Here is a 20,804-nt window from a genome sequence, read left to right on the forward strand (position 1 = left end):
GTGCGTTTCCGCTGTACCGGAACGTGGGGCGAGGCGGTGAGTGTGGCCTCCTGGCCTCTTTTTCCTTTCCTGATTCCTTGTGTATGTGTGGCTGGGCCGCCCCTCTTCTCGGCTCAGAGTCACGGAGTGCCTTGAACTAGGCCCACCTCGCCGGGGCGGCTGGTTCTCTGTTTGTGGGACGCTGGTGTCTCTGGAGGCCCTTCCTGAGAAGCCGTCGCCAGAGTTACGTCGCGGTTTTCTTAACTTTAGAGCCTGGGGGCCGGAGACCCTGATTGCACTCGACCTGGCTCTGCCCTACTCTCTGCGTGACTTCCAGTAAGGTCTTTCCCCGAACTGAGGCTTTGTTTCTCGTTTACAAAATGGATATCATACTTGTATTAAATAAATGTTTACTAAGCGTTGAATCTGTGCTAGGGATACAGCAGGACTCAAGTCTCGTGGCGATGACAGCCTTCAATCAAACATCCAAAACTGCAGTTGTGATCATTGAGACGGAAAGGTACAAGGCACCCCAGATTATATCACAGGAGACCTGACCTAGCCCCAGGGCAAGGAACCTTTACTGAGGAGGTGAATATTGAGCTGAGATCAGAAAAAAGGATTTGACAAAGTGGGGAGGGAAGAGTTTTCTATATGGAGACAGCCTCCAATTTCAGGTTCTGAAAGAGGCCGTTGTGGCTGGAACAGAGAGCTTGTGGGGGACCATTGTGTGACACAAGCTAAAGGGGTTGCCAGGAGTCAGACCGTGCAGGCTTTGTAGGTAATAGGAAGAATTCTGGTTTTTCAAGAACCATATGGGAAACCACTCAGAAGCTGACATGGGTGGTGTTGTGATTAGATTGGCATTTTGAAAAGGTTACTGCTGTTGAATGGAGAATGGGTTGAGGAGCAAGCACTCTGAGTGAGGGACGATGGTAGCTTGGATTAGGGAGGTGGTGGAGAGAAGTGGATGGATGTGACTTTAGGTGTTCCAGGACTGTGAGGAACTCACAGAGCTGTCAGTGACAGGGGCTGGTAGACTGCAGAGTTCTATGCATATTTAATAAACGTTTTCCTAGCATCTCCTCTGTGCTAGGCCCTGTGCCAGCTGCTGGAGATATAGTGAATAGAATTACAGACTGGTGGAATTAGCATGAAAGAAACGTCATTATCAAGGAGGAGCACACAGATGTCACAAGGGAAAATGGCTAATTGATGAGCTGTTATTGTAAATGGAATATCTGTTCATTCAGCAAATATTAAATACTTTCTGAATTCAGGATTACAAATAGGAAGATGATACGTATTATTATTATTATTATTATTATTATTATTATTATTATTATTATTATTTTGAGACGGAATTCGCTCAGACCCCCAGGCTGGAGTGCAGTGGTGTGATCTCAGCTCACTGCAACCTCTGCCTCCCAGGTTCAAGCAATTCTTCTGCCTCAGCTTCTCAAGTAGCTGGGACTACTGGCGCACACCACCATGCGCGGCTAATTTTTTTTGTATTTTTAGTAGAGATGGGGTTTCACAGTATTGGCCAGGCTGGTCTCAAACTCCTGACCTCATTATCCATCCGCCTCGGCCTCCCAAAGTGCTGTGATTACAGGCGTGAGCCACCACGCCCGGCCTGTTGATACGAATTATTTAGAGCAGAGTCTTTCAAACTTTTATGACTGTGACCTACAGTAACGAATACATTTTATGGCACAACCAAGTATACACACAAACACACAAAGCTCCAGAAAACAGTACTTAGCTTTACTACTCATGATGTATTGTGATATTTCAAAAATTCTGTTATTTTCGTTTAAAAAATAATGCTGGTTGAGACCTTCACATTGATTTCCTAATCCACTAATGGATTGTGACTTGCAGTTTGGTGAAACACAAAGTGCTGATTCAGGGTAAGAGTCATTTGTGGTGGTTTTGAGGTAACAATGATAAAATGTGCTCTTATTTTTGGAAAAGGATTGGTCTTCCTTTCTGCACTGCTTTATTTAAAGTAAAAAGGGTAAACAGGGCCAGGCATGGTGGCTCACACCTGTTATCTCAGCACTTTGGGAGGCCGAGGCGGGCAGATCACTGAGGTCAGGAGTTCCAGACTAGCCTAGGCCACATGGTGAGACCCTCTCTGTACTAAAAATACAAAACTTAGCCAGGTGTGGTGGCACACACCGGTAGTCTCAGCTGCTTGGGAGGCTGAGGCACAAGAATTGCTTGAACCCGGGAGGTGGACGATGTAGTGAGCCGAGATCACGCCACTGCACTCCAGCTGGGGTGACAGAGCGAGACCCTGTCTCAAAAAAAAAAAAAAAAAAAGTAAACAATTAAACAGGCAGCTCGTTTTTCTGTGTGTGAAATTTTGACGTCTTGGCTAGATTGGAATTGCCTAGAGGGCAGTGACTGTCTTAATCTGTGATGTTTTTTGGGGGCCTGGCAAAGATCCTGGCACAATGCAGGCACTCAGTGAGTATTTGTTAAATTAGTCAGGTAGGTATCTTAGGACTAGAAGGTTGCATAATGGTTTGTTTACATTTGTTCATGTTGGTACCATTCTTGCCGATATCCCAGAGGCAATGTCTGGGATATTCAGAAGTAGGTAAAATAAGTGTACTAAGCTCTTTCTCTTCTGGCCAGCTTTCTCTTCCTAGGCTAGCTTTACCACCTGAATTCATTCTGGATGAATGGTCCAGAGCCACCACTGATTGTGGGCTCTTTGGGAAGTTGTTTCACTCCCTGGAGTTTAGGTTTTTTATGAGTGAAAGAAGAGGGGAGATTTGTGGTAGGAAAGCTCTCTAGACCCTGAACAAACTTTAGATGCTGAGCCTCCACTTGCTACCGTCTGTCCATTTCTGGGCCTTCCCTGAGGCTTATGGGAAACTGGATATGTACTTGATTTAATCTTTCCAAATCTTTTGGGATAGTTTTTTGGCAGAATTGTAGTTTTAAATGATGTAGGCATATAGTTTAGAGTGACCTGTCCAGGCATTTTCCACCCTCACCCTCTGTTGTGAGAAAGAGATCTGAGAAGATATTAAGAATGGACGGTGGACAGAACACTGGCCTGCAGGCAGGGTATCCAGATTCTAATTTGGGTCCTGGTATGACCATGAGCATGTCACTTTTCTTTCACTGGTATCTTATAGCTGTGAAGTGAGTGTCCTTGCATGTTAAGCCAAAACACAAAAATCCTTTCCTTTAATCCTCGTTTTTCTCATCTGTAAACTCAATGCAGGGTTGTCATGAGGATTAAGGGAAATAATTATGTCAGGGGTCTAACTCAATATCTGGCACATACAGAATGCTTAGCAAATGAAGCATCTTTCCCCCACGTTCTGATTAACTCTGGTTTCTTTCTTTCTCAGCTGTTCATCAAAGAAAAAGGGTTCTTTTGGTCACCCACCACTGGCCCCATGGCTGCCGTGCAGATGGATCCTGAGCTAGCCAAGCGCCTCTTCTTTGAAGGGGCCACTGTGGTCATCCTGAACATGCCCAAGGGAACAGAGTTTGGGATTGACTATAACTCCTGGGAGGTCGGGCCCAAGTTCCGGGGCGTGAAGATGATCCCTCCAGGCATCCACTTCCTCCACTACAGCTCTGTGGACAAGGCTAATCCGAAGGAAGTAGGCCCTCGTATGGGTTTCTTCCTTAGCCTGCACCAGCGGGGGCTGACAGTGCTGCGCTGGAGCACACTCAGGGAAGAGGTAGACCTGTCCCCAGCCCCAGAGTCTGAGGTGGAGGCCATGAGGGCCAACCTCCAGGAGCTGGACCAGTTCCTGGGGCCTTACCCATATGCCACCCTGAAGAAGTGGATCTCACTCACCAACTTCATCAGCGAAGCCACAGTGGAGAAGCTACAGCCCGAGAATCGACAGATCTGTGCCTTTTCCGATGTGCTACCTGTGCTCTCCATGAAGCACACCAAGGACCGCGTGGGGCAGAATCTACCCCGCTGTGGCATTGAGTGCAAAAGCTACCAAGAGGGCCTGGCCCGGCTACCAGAGATGAAGCCCAGAGCCGGGACAGAGATCCGCTTCTCAGAGCTGCCCACGCAGATGTTCCCAGAGGGTGCCACGCCAGCTGAGATAACCAAGCACAGCATGGACCTGAGCTATGCCCTGGAGACTGTGCTCAACAAGCAGTTCCCCAGCAGCCCCCAGGATGTGCTTGGTGAGAAGGAACAAGGCTCTTTGGGAGTGGGCCAAGGGGAGGATATTAGCAGAGGTGTTTTGGAATAGGGAGTACATCTTGTGTTAGTCCAGCAGCAACTAAACCTGGCTAGGAGGCTGAAGATACAGGTGTGTCTTTACCCTTAGCCCTGGAGATTTCGATTTGAGAGATCTGGAGTGGGGCTTCCGCAGTTTCTATCTGTCTAATAAACAAACATCCTAGGTGAACCTGGTGCAGATAATCTTCTGTTTGGGAACCACTGATAGAGCCCAGTCCTACAGAAGGAAAAGATTTGGCCCACTGAGTGGCTGAACTGAGACGAGAACCCAGGACTCTTGGTTTCTGGGCCAGACCTGTGTTCGTTGTAGCCTCTCACCTGCCTGCTCAGTTTGCTCCTGACCCTCAAGATGTTGGTCTCTCAACTGGCTTAGAACAGGACAGTGATTTTTTTTTTAATCATTACAGTTTTTATTGTTACCTTCCCTTTTATTACAAAAATGATAGATAATAATCATAAAAGAAAAACAAAATTTACTTCAAATCTCACTACTTAGAAATAACCATTTAAACAGTTTGGTATATTTACGTTCCTTTTTTTCTGTGTATTTCTATGTATTTCATTTCAATGTCTTCTCTGTTTATTTCTATGTACTTCCTCTCAGTCTTAAAAATTCAGTATATGTGTCTGTATATATATGAGTTTTTATAAAAACAGGATTGAAGTATATTATTACTTTGTAATCTGCCTTAATATAAATGTTTTTTCATGTCACTAACAGTCACTTTTTTAGTGGCTGTTTCATGTTCCATAGTTATTGGACCAGTTCTCTGTTATGGACCATTGAGATGCTCCCTGTTTTCTCTATTGTATCATCAAGTGGCCGGGTGTGGTGACTCACACCTGTAATCCCAGCACTTTGGGAGGCTGAGGCCGGTGGGGATCACCTGAGGTTAGGAGTTCGAGACCAGCCTGGCCAACATGGTGAAACCCCATCTGTACTAAAAATACAAAATTAGCTGGGTGGTGTGCACCTGTAGTCCCAGCTACTCTGGAGGCTGAGGCAGGAGAATCACTTGAACCCAGGAGGCAGAGGTCGCAGTGAACCAAGACCTCGCCATTGCACTCCAGCCTGGGCAACAAGAGCCGTCTCAAAAATATATATACATATATCATCTAGTGAACATTCTCGTGTGTACTTACACATACATTTAGGGATAGAATTGCTGGGTCAGACTGTGCATGTTGCCAGGAGAAGGTTTTTGCATCCTTGCTGGCTGGTAGGAACCTGTTGCCCATCACCTTTGACAGCATTGGGCATGACAGTTTAACAAAGGCCTCTTCCAATTGGATAGCTGAAAAATGGCACCTTGTTTATATTTCTTTATTTCTTAAATACTAGTGACAGCAAATATGTGTCACATTTTGAACAGCTATTTTTATATATATTTATAAATTTTCCAGGTAATTTGCATATTTTCTTGTTGGAAGTTCAGTGAGAAATTTGAATGTAGGACTTCTTTTTTTTTTTTTTTTTTTTTTGAGACAGGGTTTCGCTGTGTCGCCCAGGGTGGAGTACAGTCAGTCACACAATCATGTCTTACTGCCACCTCAACCTCTCGGGCCCAAGTGATCCTTCTGCCTCGGCTTCCCAAAGTGCTGGGATTACTGTGCCTAGACAGGACTTTTTATATCATTGGCTCAGCTAATGATATAACCTATATTTTAACAGGTACATCTTTTGTTGTTGTTGTTGTTGTTGTTGTTGTTGTTGTTGTTGTTGTTGAGACGGAGTCTTGCTCTGTCGCCCAGGCTGGAGTGCAGTGGTGTGAGTTCGGCTCACTGCAAGCTCCGCCTCCCGGGTTCACGCCATTCTCCTGCCTCAGCCTCCTGAGTAGCTGGGACTACAGGCGCCCGCCACCACGCCCGGCTAATTTTGTTTTGTATTTTTAGTAGAGACAGGGTTTCACCATGTTGGCCAGGATGGTCTCGATCTCCTGACCTCATGATCCACCTGCCTCAGCCTCCCAAAGTGCTGGAATTACAGGCGTGAGCCACCGCACCCAGCCTTTAACAGGTACATCTTAATGCATTAGTATTTTCGTATAATAAGTAACTTTTAAAAGTCTGGCTTAAAAATGAATAGAAATCCTGTCTTTCTACCTCTTAAACATTTCAATTCTTCAAAATATATCTTGCGAAAAGGTCTGTTACAGGAATAACTTTGTTGGTTTTTTTTTTTTTTTTTTTTTGAGACAAGGTCTCACTCTGTGACATGGGCTGGAGTACAGTGGCATGATCACAACTCACTGCAGCCTCAACCTCCTGGGCTCAACTGAGCCTCCCACCTCAGCCTCCCAAGTAGGTGGGACTTCAGGTGTGTGCCACCACGCCCAGCTAATTATTTTTGGTTGAGATAGGGTCTCCCTGTGTTGCCCAAGCTTGTCTCAAACTCCTGAACTCAAGCAATCCTCCTCCACTGACCTCTCAAAGGGCTAGGACTATCCCTGCCACCGCACCTGTCCAGGGATAATTTTGAATCTACATCACACCTCTTTGAAAAATATAATTTAATTTTAGATAAAGTCAGAAATGCACAAATTTAATAAATGTCCTAAACGCAAATAATAGGCTAATATTTAGTTTCACAAACCAAGTAAAGCCAGCTGAAGAAGCAAATCATTAACCTATATTATACAAAGAAAATTTGACTATATTTGAAAATATTGGTCAGAAATCCAAAATTTCTAAACCAGGTAGCTATTCACACAAATCAAACTTAGTTCCGTATGCTTAGGAACAGGGAGCTAGTTTTTCCAGGTCTCTGGAGGTGGCACAGATCAAACGCCATGCATTTAAAGAGGTATTTGGTGTTGAGTACATCTCTTCTTTTTATGGCCCACATGTATGTATACCTCATTAAATTTCCAGCCACCTTTGAAGTAGAGAGAATGCCTGTGATGAGGAGCAGTATTCTGTGGTAACCAGAGACCCAGTTACTTGCCCAGGGACAGTGGTGTCTGGATCATCAGGTCTCTGTTTGAGATGGGCATCTGATAGAAATTGGGAACATAATATTTTTTGAGTGCTACTTTGTGCCAGGTCTTATTCTAAATGCTATACATGTACTATATCCATTCATGTAATCTTTGCTACAACCCTCAAATAAGGAAATTGAGGCCTTAATAGATTGAGTAACTTGCCCAAGGTCACACAGCTGCTAAGTGGCAGAGCTAAGATTTGAAGCTAGGCAGTTTGGCTCCAGAGCCCATGCTCTTAGCCACCAAGCTGCTCATAGAGATTAAATCACAGAGCCCTGTGGTTAAGCAAACAAAAATAATCTGCCTGGCAGGCTGACCCTGGAATAAGTACTCATGAATTTTTCTTTTGTGGGAGGTTCCAGAACTGTTCCCACCCAATGGAGAATCTGTTTTATCTTTCCGTTGCCCACATTGTGAAGCATTAGATGTGTGGCCTTGGGCAAGCCCTTGACCTTATCTATGAAATGAGGCAAATACCATCTTCCTGATCGCCTTGTGGAGTTGGGCTGAGGGTTACATGGTATAGTGCAGTATTTCCTGACCCTGGAGCAGACCATCCACATTAGAATCACCTGGGGAGCTTGTTAGAGCTACAGATACGAAGGCCCCATCATCTCTCCTCCACCAGAACCTCTGAGGGTGAAGCTTGGGTAGCTTTACTTTTAACAGACTCTCAGTGATTCTGATGGGCAGCCAGGTTTGAAATCCACTTGGCATAATATCCATGAACACATTTTGTAAACTTAAAATGCCAGGCAAATACTGGGAATACCTCTTCTCTAGCAGTCTGATTTTATAGAAATCCAAAGCCACAGGTTGGTTTCCCATGGCTTGAATTCATAGCGGTTCAGCAGACATCTATTGAGTACCTGTTAGGTGCAAAATCTCCTGCCAGGCTCTGCAGGAGTGACAAGGATAAAAGCTCATCTGTTGCTGAGGTCCAGTGGAATTCATGGCCTTGTGAATAGTGATGGAGAGTGTCAGCTGGTCCTCCTCTCCCTCAGAATCACTTCTCCTCTCTGCACCTTTCAGGTGAACTCCAGTTTGCTTTTGTGTGCTTCCTGCTGGGGAATGTGTACGAGGCATTTGAGCATTGGAAGCGGCTCCTGAACCTCCTGTGCCGGTCAGAAGCAGCCATGATGAAGCACCACACCCTCTACATCAACCTCATCTCCATCCTGTACCACCAGCTTGGTGAGATCCCCGCTGACTTCTTCGTAGACATTGTCTCCCAAGACAACTTCCTCACCAGCACCTTACAGGTGAGCAGTCTTTCTGACTGAGCTGATGCACATGTGGGTCAGAATTGAGGCAACAGTATGTGTTTTGTTTCTCGCTATTCTTCCATGACCCCAAAATTTTTAAATTTCAGTTTCCTAGTCTTGGGATATTTCCTGCTTTTCTCTCTCTTACTCAATTGTAAGTGCCTCTATGCCAGAAATTTTCTCTCTGTACCACCCTCTCCCTACACCTCGTCCCCAGAGTGCCTAACACTGGGGTACTTGGATTTGAATTCCTCCCACTGCTTTGGTTTACTCAGCTTAAAACAGCGTTTCTTTCTCCCTGTAGCCATGAATTGCTACAACCCAGTAAAGCAGAATTTTGAAGTTTGTTATTCCCAGTGAAACATCTGCAGCTCCTTAGATCTCATTTAAGCATTAAAATAACTTTGATTTCCTGTTCAAACAAAATGTGCCAGTTTCTGCAGAGATTCTATGACAGAAAAAGTGAAATTTGCTTTTAACTTGGCAATTAAATTTTCATTATGAGTGGTAATTAGGAAAGAAGCTTCAAACAACTTACAATCTTCATCCTATGCTATTTCCTCCCTTTGCAAACAGATTAGTCCTTTATGTACTTGGGACAGCCTCTGTCACTCACATTGTGTAACTTTCTCAAGAATAGAAGAGGCAGAAGCTGCCACTGTCAGTTTCCATACTTTCCCTCCCATGAGCTTCTTTCTTCTCCCTGTGTGTAATACCCCCATGAGGCCTGCTCCATATAAGGCAGCCTTTCACCAACCTTCCAATCCCACTCGGGGTAACAGAAGGGACGAGCATTCGTTAAATATTGGGGCTGGGCGTGGTGGTTCATGACTGTAATCCCAACACTTTGGGAGGTGAAGGCAGGAGGATCACTTGAGCCCAGGAATTAAAGACCAGCTTGGGCAATATAGTGAGACCCCGTCTCTCCAAAAATTAAAAAATTGGCCAGGTATGGTCATGTGCACCTGTAGTCCTAGCCACTTGGGAGGCTGAGACAGGAGGATCACTTAGCCCAGGAGTTTGAGGCTATAGTGAGCAATGATTATGATCGTGCCACTGCACTCCAGCCTGGGCAACAGAGTGAGACCCTGTTCACTCATTGAATCCCTTTGGAGCCTTGTAAGATGGGGGTATTATTCCCATTTTACAAATGGGAACACTTGAGAATGGTTAAATCACTTACTTGAAGTCATACAGCTGGCAGGTGGAGGTCAGGATTTGTACCCAGGCCTGAGTCTTGGTTTCCTGCCTGTGCTTATGCCCTTGTGTAGTGAACACAGTGTGAATCCCCCAGAAAGGATTCTTGATTGACATCAGTGAAGACTTCATCGAGGTCCTGTTTCTCAGAGGTACAGAACGCTTTTCTAAAGCCAACCTACTGTTGGATGAGTCCCTGTGAGCAGGCATCTGACTTAAAGCTGGCAGTTGAAGGACCTGTGTAAACCATGGCAATGAGTCAGTCAAGCGCATGATTTGAGCCTGGTCTGTTCCACTCAGAAGAGCTATAAAACTGTCCTTTTACTGGTTCTTCATATAACAGAGAAATTAAACCCCTTTGTCCTTCCTCTGTGGGGAAAATTTTCCCCAAAGGTACTGGTTATGGGTTGTGAGGCAGTGTGAGGAGGCATTAGCCTGCTAACTTGCCTCTGGCAGTGGCTGCTTCCCTCCTGATGCACGTTGATGCGTCGCACAGACACAGGAGGGCCACGGTGTTGCTGGCTGTCCAGACCATTGTTAGCACAACCAGCAGCTGAGCTCTATAATTGCCAGGCTTTGTTGCCAGCAATGATTTACAAAGCAGAAAGTGCCCAGCTGGATTGCTAGATGCCCAGGTGGGTTGTGCAAAGCTGATGGTTGGAAACATTCAGTCTTTGAACTTTTCACCAAGAAAATTCGATGTCATTATTTGGAAAAATCCAGGGCATGTGCCAAAACAAAACAAAACAAAACAAAAAACACATGTCTTTGAGCATTCTTCATATATAACATTCTACTGAAAGTGTTGAGGAATATATATACATGTGAGTTAGCCAGGGTTCCTGCCCTCAAGGGATTTGTTCATTGATTTAGCAGGTAATTGCTGAGCATCTGCTGTATAGAAGACTCTGTTCTAGAACTGGGAATATAGCTGTGAGCAAGACAGAGTCATTGTCTTGACTCTTGTAATTTGAGAAAGTTAACAGAAAGTTAACTAGCCAAGTAACTCCAGATAGCAGACTCTTGTATTTTGAGAAAGTTAACAGAAAGTTAACTAACCAAATAGCAGTAAGCAGGTAGCAGTAAGTGTTTTAGAAGGCAGTCCTGCCCTAGTACCATTTCCCTAGCCCCGGCCTTTTGGTCTCACCTAGACTGCATCGGAGTTTACCAGCCTCCGTGCTTACCAGTTACCCCATCTCTCTCCCACACTGCCACCTGAGGTGCTGCTCCATAATGCAGCTGTGATCCTGCTTCTCTGTGGCTCCTCATTGCGTGGAAAATTAAAAGCCTAAACATTGGTCGCAAAGGCCATTCTGATCTGGCTTCTTATCCTGTTCTCCAGCTTCTCTTTCCTCTCCGTTTTCCCCCATCAACTCCAGCAACAGTGGTCTCTTTGCAGGTTCCTGGACAGGTTATGCTGTTTCATGCTTTTTAAAAAAAAAAATTGTTGTAAAAAACAGCTGGTCCATGGTGGCTCACGCCTGTGATCTCAGCACTTTGGGAGGCCGAGGCTGGAGGATCACTTGAGGTCAGGAGTTAGAGACCAGCCTGGCCAACATGGTGAAACCCCCATGTCTACTAAAAATACAAAAATTAGCCAGGCATGGTGGTGGGCGCCTCTAGTCCCAGCTACTCAGGAGGCTGAGGCAGGAGAATCTCTTGAACTGGGGAAGCAGAGGTTGCAGTGATTCGAGATTGCACCACTACACTCCAGCCTGGGCAAAAACAGTGAGACTTTGTCTCAAAAAAAAATAATAAAAATAAAATTGTGGTAAAAAAAAACACAATTTAACATATATGCCCTCTTAACAGATTTTCAGTGTTCAGTACAGTATTAACCATAAGCATCATGCCATCCAGCAGATCTCTAGAACTTCTTCATCCTGCATAATTGAAACTTTATACCCATGTTTCATACCTTCTTGCCGGAACCTGATTTTCCCTCTCCCTGGTACATATTTGCTCATTCTACAACATGCCCTCAAGGCATCCCTCTCTGTCAAGCCATCCCTCCTCTCTCTGTCTCAATCTCTGTCTCTCTTTCACTCTCCCCTTTCCCTACTCTTAGCTTACTTTGAACTTGTCGCTATTATATTGCATGAGATGTGCTTGCTGAAACTAATATATTGTCTGCCTGACTCCCGCACTGAGTCATGGGCTCCTTTTACACGAGGCCTATTTTTTGTTCATCTGGTTATCTTCTTCTTCTTCTTTTTTTTTTTTTTTTGAGACATAGTCTTGGTCTGTAACCCAGGCTGGAGTACAATGGCGCGATCTCGGCTCACTGCAACCTCTGCCTCCCGGGTTCAAGTGATTCTCTGGCCTCAGCCTCCCAAGTAGCTGGGATTACAGGTGTGCACCACCACGCCAACCTAATTTTTTTGTATTTTTAGTAGAGATGAGGTTTCGCCATGTTGGCCAGGCTGGTCTCGAACTCCTGACTTCAGGTGATCCACCCAACTCACATCTGGTTATCATCAATATGTTGTCAAGGCCTAACATTTATGTCATTTGGTGTTATTGGGTGTTTTTAGATGGATAGAGTTCATAATTCTTGTGACAATGTAAATATCATAGGTATAAACAGTGGAGTCTGATCAAAGGGCGTTAGGAGCACCAAAGAGGGAGTGGTTAATTCTGACTGGGGTTGAGATTTGAGGCTTTATGCAAGGGTGGAAGGTGGGGGCATTTGACCATGCACTTGAGGGATGACTGAGATTTCAAAAGGCACAATGTGGAGAAGGATATTGTAAAACTTTTTTTTTTTTTTTAATGGAGAGTCACGTTGATGCCATGTTGGCAGTGAGAGTCCAGTTCTCCACACAGAGGCATTCACTCAGGGCATTTGTGACTGAATGAATCAGCCCATAAAAGCCTTCCTCAGCCAGCCGCCTGCCCTCCCAGGTAGTCAAGTAAGTGGAACTGGCTGTCTTACTTAGGAGCTTAAATGGCTACTACCCATGGAGAGGGACTGGTGTTTGTGTGTGTGAGCACTTAAAGACAGCCACATTAGCATGGATAAAATCAGCCGCGTAATGGAATTCTCTTAGCCATTAATTTTTTTTCAACTTTCCCATGTGAGGCCCTTTTGAATAGAAGCCACTGGTTTTTACAAATCCCTTGGATTTCACTTGAATAAAAGGGATTTGTTTTACAAAAATAGATGCAGTTTTTTCTTTTATTTAAAGCAACGTAAGTCACCATAATTCATTTAAAACCAATGAAAGGATAATCTGAATTTAATGATATGTTAGAAAGTGAGTTATGTACAAAATAAGGATTTTTATTGTTGATTACGTAGTACTTAGGCATATAGTCATCTAACCTGTTTTTAAAAATACTTCTAGTTACAATAGGCCGTATATGCTTTCCAACTTCCTTTGTTGCTAGTATTCTAAATGTGTGTTCATCTTTAACTCTTGAGGGAAAACACCAACTCTGACGATGAGGTCTATGGTATTTTTATCACGATGCCCACTATGATAAATTTGCCTGCCTACTCCTACACCTCTTGCCATTAGCTATCTCTTTTGCATGCTTAGTCTCATTGAGCCCTCACAACAGTGCTAGAAGCTAGGTCTCTAATCCCATTATATAGATGAGGAAGCAGGCTCAGGAAGGTCACATAATTTGCTCAAAATCAACAGAGCTAGTGAAAGGCAAGGCTGAGCTTTACATTCTAAAGCCTATGGTGGGCTCCTGTATATGATTAGAGCCCCAGATGAAACATCCCAGATTTTTCAAACTGACCTCAGGTGATCTCATTTATGCTGCTTTTTACCTTCCTGGTCATCATTGTGAAACAATAGTCTTGCTTTTAACACCACTTTCTTCTGCTGCAAGTGGAAACAAAATCTTCTACCTATTGCTAGTTTCATTCTAAGTTGAATAATTATTTGGGAATTGAAAAAATTAGGAAATGTCATCTTTTTGGTCTAGCTAAAAAAATAGGATAAGATAGTGACATAGCTACCTACCTTGATATTTTGAATTTCTCGAGGTGACCTAACTGAACTCAATTTATTTAACTTAGGTTTAAGAAAAGCTTTCACATGTGTGACTAAAGTAATTTAGAATTTCATAATACACAGATTAAATGATTAAAGTGTTCATGCTTTATTTTGTGTTTGAAGAAAAACACCCAGTAGGTGTGCTTTTTGTTTTAGATAAATGCATTTGTTTGCAAAATATTATCCTATTTCAAAAGTATTTTTTAAATATTCAGTATTGATATGCTGAGATTAAGGTGATTTATGTCCCAGTGACGTTAAAAAGTGTTGACTTGATTTTGTTTTAGTGAATAAAATAACTAGACCACTGTTAAGTTTCCTGAAGAAGGCGTAAAATTAATCTGAAAATAAAAGAATCAGAATAAGTTATTGCTTGGAAACTAAGTACTATTTAGACATCTTCATTTCTGAATTGTGAGGAGTTTTTACAAATACCAAGTTTGTGAAACTGTGGTCAAAAATAGACCAGGAAATGCCAGGGGGTAGGGGTGAAGGAAGGGTTTGACTGCTAAGGGGCCGCACAAGGGAGCTGTTTGGTGTGATGGGATGGCTCCATGTCCTGATTGGGGTGACGGTTACACAAATTTATACGCACCTTCAAACTCAGAACTGGATACCAAAAGCAAAGCAAACACTGTGAACATGTATCATATGGTGGTTGCATGGGGGTATATATATATTTGTCCAGATTAACTAAGCATTTAAAATTGATGAATTTACTAATCTGGGCAACATAGTGAGAACCTGACTCTACAAAAAATTAAGAAGAAAAAAAAAATACCAGGCGTGGTGGCTCATGCCTCTAATCCCAGCACTTTGGGAAGACAAGGTGCGTGGATCACTTGAGCCCAGGTGTTCCAGACCAGCCTGGGCAACATGGCGAAACCCTGTCTCTACAAAAAATACAAAATTTAGCTAGGCATGGTGGCATGTACCTATAGTCTCAACTACTGAGGAGGCCTAGATGTGTGGATCACTTGAGCACAGAGGTTAAGGCTGCAGTAAGCTGTGATCACATCACTGTGCTCCAGCCTAGGTGACAGAGTGAGACCCTATCTCAAAAAAAAAAAAAAATTATCTAGGTATTCGTGGCATGTACCTGTAGTCCTAGCTACTTGGGATGCCGAGGCAAGAGAATCCCTTGAGCCCAGGAGTTCAAGGCTGCAGTGAGATATGATCATGCCACTGCACTTCAGCATGGGCAACAGTGAGATCCCGTCTCTAAAAAATAAATAAAATAAAATGAATAAAATTAATTGTGTGTAAGTTATACCACAATAAGGTTGATTTTTTTTTTTAAGTCAACCCAGACTATGCCCTGTGTCCTGGAGGCTGCAGAAGGGACAGTTTCAGAAGCACCTTGGTTCCCTACAAGGCAGTGCTAAAAATAAATATCAGGGATGGATTAAGCCTCTGTCAAGACAAAAGGTCTGGGCAGGCAAAGGATGAAGCCGAGATGCCTCTGCTTTGACAGGACTCTGCTCAGCATTTGTCACTGCGTGTTGCCGCATGCCTAGTGTCTTACCTCTGCAGTGGGAATAGTAAGTTCCTGTCCTGCCTCCCAGGCTGTGGTAAAGATCAAGTTGGTGAGTTCTTTAAAAAGGACGAAGCACTTTTTAAATTAGAAAACGTATTTGTTAGACTGAAGGTGTCTGTTTTACCTGCCTCTAGTGGAATTTATTCCCAGGCAATGTTTGAGAGGTGCTTTGGGAGGATGGGTGATGAGCGTGAGCCCAGTTTGTTCCAGCCTGTCACTCCTGGCCATTGCCAAGTGCAGGGCAGTCCCTGGGTCTCAATAGGTCATTCGGTGAGCACCCTTTGGGCCCTAACTCTATACCTGGCCCTGGGTGATATGCTTTGTGGCACACATTGATAATTGGGACACAATCCCCACTTTTAGAGGGTGCAAATCACTGTGATACAAGCACAGTGTGAGGAATGCCATGAGGGAGGCTCGGGCACAGTGCTGGGGAACAGGGGTCTGAGCAGTTCATGTCACAAGGAGGTTTCTTGAGAGCCATGGCATTCAGGGGCCTGGTAAAGAAGCTGCCTTCTCCTTAGGATGAGCCTTTCTTTCTCCCCAGCATCACCATATCACTATTGAACAGCTATTTGGTGCTAGGCACTGTACAAAAGTGAACCCCAAATTGAGTCTGTGGTTGTCTTCATTCTTCTGTTCATTAAACATCTAATGGGTCCTTTTTGTGTGTCGGGCGCTGTGCCGAGAGTGGAGCACGGTGTGAAAGAGCCGCTGCTGTGAGGTTGCTCCGTGTCTGGTGGACAAGATCAACAGCAAATGGCCTGTTAGCTTACTGAGACTGATCAAGGTAGCCCTGGGGCTGAGGGAACGCAGAGGAGCACCTACTCCATCCTTGGTCTGGAAGAGATCCTCAAGGAGGTGATGTTTGAGCTGAGCCTGAGTCTTTAGGAGAAATTCATAGGTGAAGGAGGAGAAAGCAGGAGATGGAAAGGTGTTAAGAGCAGAGGGAAAAGCGTGTGTGCAGAGAGGCGCAGAGGAAGCAGTGGCACATGTTTGGGCAGCTGCTCAGTGGCTGGAGAGCAGGGACTGTGGAGAGTCATCCAATTCCCATGTAAGGAAGGGAAACAGGAAGAGACTTGTTAATTCAGCCCAGCAGTCTCCCCACAACCTCTGGGGATGGCCTCATGGGTGTGCAGGGCCTCCAGAGCTAAAACTGTTTGAGAGAAGGCTTCTGTGCTGTCCATACCAGGCCCCTCCCCAGAATTCAGCCTTGCTCCAGGCGGGCTCCACTGGCTGCCTACAGACAGGCCAACCCTTGGCTTCCCCATGGCCCTCGCCACCAAGATCACACAGCCCTGCTAATTAGTTATTGATCTGGTATTTTGTTGTGGCTGCGCTTCCCACTCCTGTGTTTAGTCGATTCCCAAGTTAATGAAGCTGGATTCTGTACCGCCCCCCTTCCCCCCCATCACCTCTCTGTGTTCCCACTGCTGCTACTCCAACGGAATGGCTCCAGACAAAGACCACTGAAAACGAGCCGCACTCCTGCTAACAGGAAGACAGCGGAGAAGCAGGTGGGAGGAATATTCCCCCTGGAATCAGCTGCAGAGGACGCCTGTTGCCTTTGTTGGGTCAGGTCTCCTGCGGCCCAGCATTTTCCATGGTGGCCTGAAAGCCAACTGTGGCATGAGGGCGATGTGGATCAAAGAGCTTCTTCCACCGTCACAACCCTGTGTCTCTGGGTGGGCCTGTAGGGTAGCAGATGGTAGTCTGGGAAAAACCACTTCTTCCTTTCTGGGTAATTTTTATTCAGTCATTTAACTCCTCTCAGCTTCCATTTCCTTAAAATAGGCATTCTGTTGTATCTTTCCAGGGTATTGGGAGGATCCAGTTGGATGCTCTGTGAAACTTCTTTGAAAACAGTAAAATAGTATAAGAAGGAATCATGGGTTTGCTATTACTCTTAGGGAGGGACTGGGATCCAGGACAATCTGGAATGGGGTTTCAGATGTGGAAAAAATTACCATTCTGCTCCCCTGCCCATGTTTGTATTAAATGAAACTGTTCATGAGAGCATCAGAATAAGGGGTTGATATCCAGAATATATAAAGAACTCCTACAACTCAACAATGCAAAAACAACCCAATTTACAAATGGGCAAGGAAGTTGAATGGACATTTCACCAAAGAAGATATACAAATGGCCAATGTGCACATGAAAACATACTCAATATCCACTGATCATTAGGGAAATGCAAATCCAAACTGCAGTAAGATACTACCTCCTACCTATTAGAATGGCATGATTTAAACACACAGAGAAAATAACAGGCGTTGGCCAGGATGTGGAGAAATGAGAACCTTTGTGCATTGCTGGTGGGAATATAAAATGGTACGGCCCCTGTGAAAAACTGTGGCAGTTCATCAGAATTTAAACAGGGAGTTCCCGTATGATCCAACAGCTCCACTCCTGGGTTTCTGTGCAAAAGAACTGAAAGCAGAGACCCTAAGAGATATGTGTACACCCATGTTCATAGCAGCATTATTCACGATAGCCAGAAGGTAAAAACAACACAAATAGGCATTGACAGATGACTAGACAAACAAAATGTGGTATCTGCATACAACAGAATATTATTCAGCCTTCAAAAGAAAGGAAATTCTGACACATGCTGCATCATTAATGAACCTTGAAGGATATTATGCTAAGTGAAATAAGCCAGTTGCAAAAGGACAAATGCTGTATGATTCCACTTAGATGAGGTGCCTAGAGTAGTCAGATTCATAGAGACAGAAAGTAGAATGTGGGTTGCCAGGGCCTGGTGGGAGGAGGGAAGGGGGATAGGGTAGTCGAATTCACAGAGTTGGAAAGTAGAATGTGGGTTGCCAGGGCCTGGAGGGAAGAGGGAAGGGGGAGTTGCTGTTTAATGGCTGCAGAGTTTTGGCCGGGGATGATGGGGTCATTCTGAAGATGGATGGTGGTGATGGTTGTACAACAGTGTCAGTGTACTTAATGCTACTCAACTGTACACTTAAAATGGCTAAAATAATATGTATATTTTGCCACAGTTTAAAAAATAAAAATATTTTTAAATGGTTGAAATGGTAGATCTTATGTACAGATGCTCCTCAGCTTCACATGGGGTTATGTCTTAATAAACTGTAAATCAGATATACCGTAAGTAAAAAATGCATTGATTACACCTAACGTCCCTAACATTGTAGCTCAGCCTCACCCACCTCAAACGTGCTCAGAACACTAACACTAGCCTACAGTTGTGCAAAATCATTTAACACAAAGCCTATTTTATAAGGAAGTGTTGAATATCTCATGTAATTTCTTGAATACTGTACTGAAAGAAACAATTCAAAGTGCAGCTTCTTCTGAATGTGTATCACTTTGCATCATCATAAAGTCGAAGTGTCATAAATTGAATGTAAGTCAGGGTCCATCTGTATATTTTACCACAATTAAAAAAAAAATCAAAGACAGCTTTTAAGGGGGATAGAAGCCTCAAACTGGCAGCCTGTGGCCCATTTAGAAGATTAGAGCAGCAATTCAGTCGTGTTGGCTTGGGGCCTGGGACTTTATGGGATCCAGGGGCTTATAAGCACCCCCAAGCCTTTCTTAGGACCTTAGTACCGACTGGTGTAGCTACTACCTGTTCCTCTGGGTTACTGCCCGGGTGTCCAGTAGAACCCCCCAGGGGGTGGAGCCAGGGTAATGGCCCCCAGCCTCTGCCCAGATAGTAATTTTCCATTCTAGTCCTGCCCTAGCATCTCAGCTGGGTTTGGACCTTCTTTCTTGGTTTGGGGGGAGCATAGCAGGTGTCCTGGGCCTATGCCAGCAGCAGCTGATCTACCCGCCCCAGAAGAGCCGAACACCATGAGGAAATTTCCACAGCTTTCTCGCCCCCTGCCCTCCGTCTTCTCAGGAGTGACTTATCCTCTGTTCTCTGTAGGTTTTCTTTTCCTCTGCCTGCAGCATTGCCGTGGATGCCACCCTGAGAAAGAAAGCTGAAAAGTTCCAAGCTCACCTGACCAAGAAGTTCCGGTGGGACTTTGCTGCGGAACCTGAGGACTGTGCCCCGGTGGTGGTGGAGCTCCCTGAGGGCATCGAGATGGGCTAACTCGGGGAGCGCTCTCAGCTGCGAGGGGCCCCTTCCCACAGGGCTGCAGTCCTGGCCTCTCCATTTACTTCTTCCCATCCTGGGACCTGCCAGGGCAGCAATCTCTCCAGGTCCTGCAAAGATGGAGCCAGAATTCCCTTTTTCACTGATAAATATATTTCTTCATTGCCAAAGAGGCTGTACCCATCCTGAAGGCACATTTGTGGGTTCCCCATCAGCCAGGCCTTGGTGCTAACCTGGCTGAATTTCACACAGGCTCTTACACACACACGCTCCTAGGAGACATCTGCCTACACGGCAACCATATTTCCTCTGAATGAGAAGGAATTGAACCAAAAGTCCAAGAAAGAACTGATTGCTTGTTCCATAGGAGCTTAGGAAACAAGAAACCCTGGATTGCCCAGGGGGTCTGAGAAGTTGGTTGGTGACTTTTTTTGCGGTTAAATGAAGGGTGATGGGGAGATCAGCCCGAATTGCCGCCTGCCTCTTGCTAAATAGGAGCAGAGGACTTGGCCTGCAGCTCCTTGGGAGCCCTTGATTGGGAAGAGAGTTTCAAGGGAGGCAGCTGGATTCAATCTAGCAGGTGGTCAGCTTCAGCTTTCTCCATCGAAATCCCATTCTCCTGTCCAGAGGCCCAGTGGGTCATCTCCCAAGGTGGGTGTGGACCCTGGCCTCAGAGGCCTTGCTGGTGCTGTCACCTCCCACCTGTTCCATTCCGAGGCCTCACCCAGAAGTGGGACCCTCCCCTTCCTCACCAGAGCCACCGTGACTGTTTCTGATGACCTGGAGAGTCAACAACAACCAGAAAGGTTTCTGCCCAGAGCAGGCTTCTTAAGGCCTTTACGAAGTTTTGTGCCTTCCAAGTGCTGAAGAAGACCTGGTCAGCCTAAATCTTCCCAGTCCCGCTGTGGAGCTGTCAGTCACCGGAGTAATGAGCTCCTGGTTCCTCGGGAGTCCTTCGTGCTGTGTGGCAGGGTTCCTCTCTAGACAAGTACACAGGCCCTGCCACCCTGACATCAAACTGTTGTACTATGATCACAGTCCCTGTGCCATCCTTTTCCAAGACTGGGGCTCACACCATGTTTTTGAATGAGAATCCCTGCTGGTTGAGACTTTTGCTTCCACTTGTTTCCTTGGAGATGTTTTTCCAAGAGCATAATGTACATTAAAGTCTTCGAGTTGAGACAATCCCCTTGTGTGTGTGTGTCTCTTGCAGTTAATCCGCCTGATCTCCAGAGCAGCCAGGCTACTGTCCATAGACACACACCTCCCTCCAGTGTATGGGAGACTTGCCCAACCTCTGGAGTCTGGAAGAGGCAGGCAGCCAGTGTTCCTCCTGTTCCTCTTGAGGCCCCTGAGACAGGCACACAAGGAAGAAGGGATGAGGCCCCATGTCTCAATAATAACCCAAGAATCACCTGATATGAATTGGCTCCTCTTTTTCTCCCAAAGCCCACTCATCAGAACTAGCTGGGGAGCTTGTGAAAACTGTATCTTTAAAGGAGTGAAGTCCTGATACATGCTAC

At 45.1% G+C, this 20,804-nt stretch overlaps 1 protein-coding gene across 6 annotated transcripts; it reads left to right on the top strand.

Moving 5' to 3' along the window:
* Positions 1–10: 10 nt before the first annotated feature.
* AAR2 (AAR2 splicing factor) lies at positions 11–20,466 on the top strand. 6 transcript variants are annotated; one of them, XM_006723770.4, is made up of 5 exons: positions 11–315; positions 415–570; positions 3,354–4,158; positions 8,230–8,459; positions 19,111–20,466. In XM_006723770.4, the coding sequence occupies exons 3-5, from the start codon at positions 3,402–3,404 to the stop codon at positions 19,276–19,278; spliced, it is 1,155 nt and encodes a 384-aa protein (XP_006723833.1). In that variant the 5' UTR covers positions 11–315; positions 415–570; positions 3,354–3,401; the 3' UTR covers positions 19,279–20,466. The 6 variants fall into 6 exon arrangements, with proteins under 6 accessions (XP_006723833.1, XP_011527065.1, XP_011527064.1 ...); XM_011528763.3 differs by having other exon boundaries at positions 415–499; XM_011528762.3 differs by having other exon boundaries at positions 11–36.
* The last annotated feature ends 338 nt before the right edge of the window (positions 20,467–20,804 follow it).

This window comes from Homo sapiens, chromosome 20 (genome assembly GCF_000001405.40).
Source record: "Homo sapiens chromosome 20, GRCh38.p14 Primary Assembly".
NCBI classification, from domain to species: domain Eukaryota; kingdom Metazoa; phylum Chordata; class Mammalia; order Primates; family Hominidae; genus Homo; species Homo sapiens.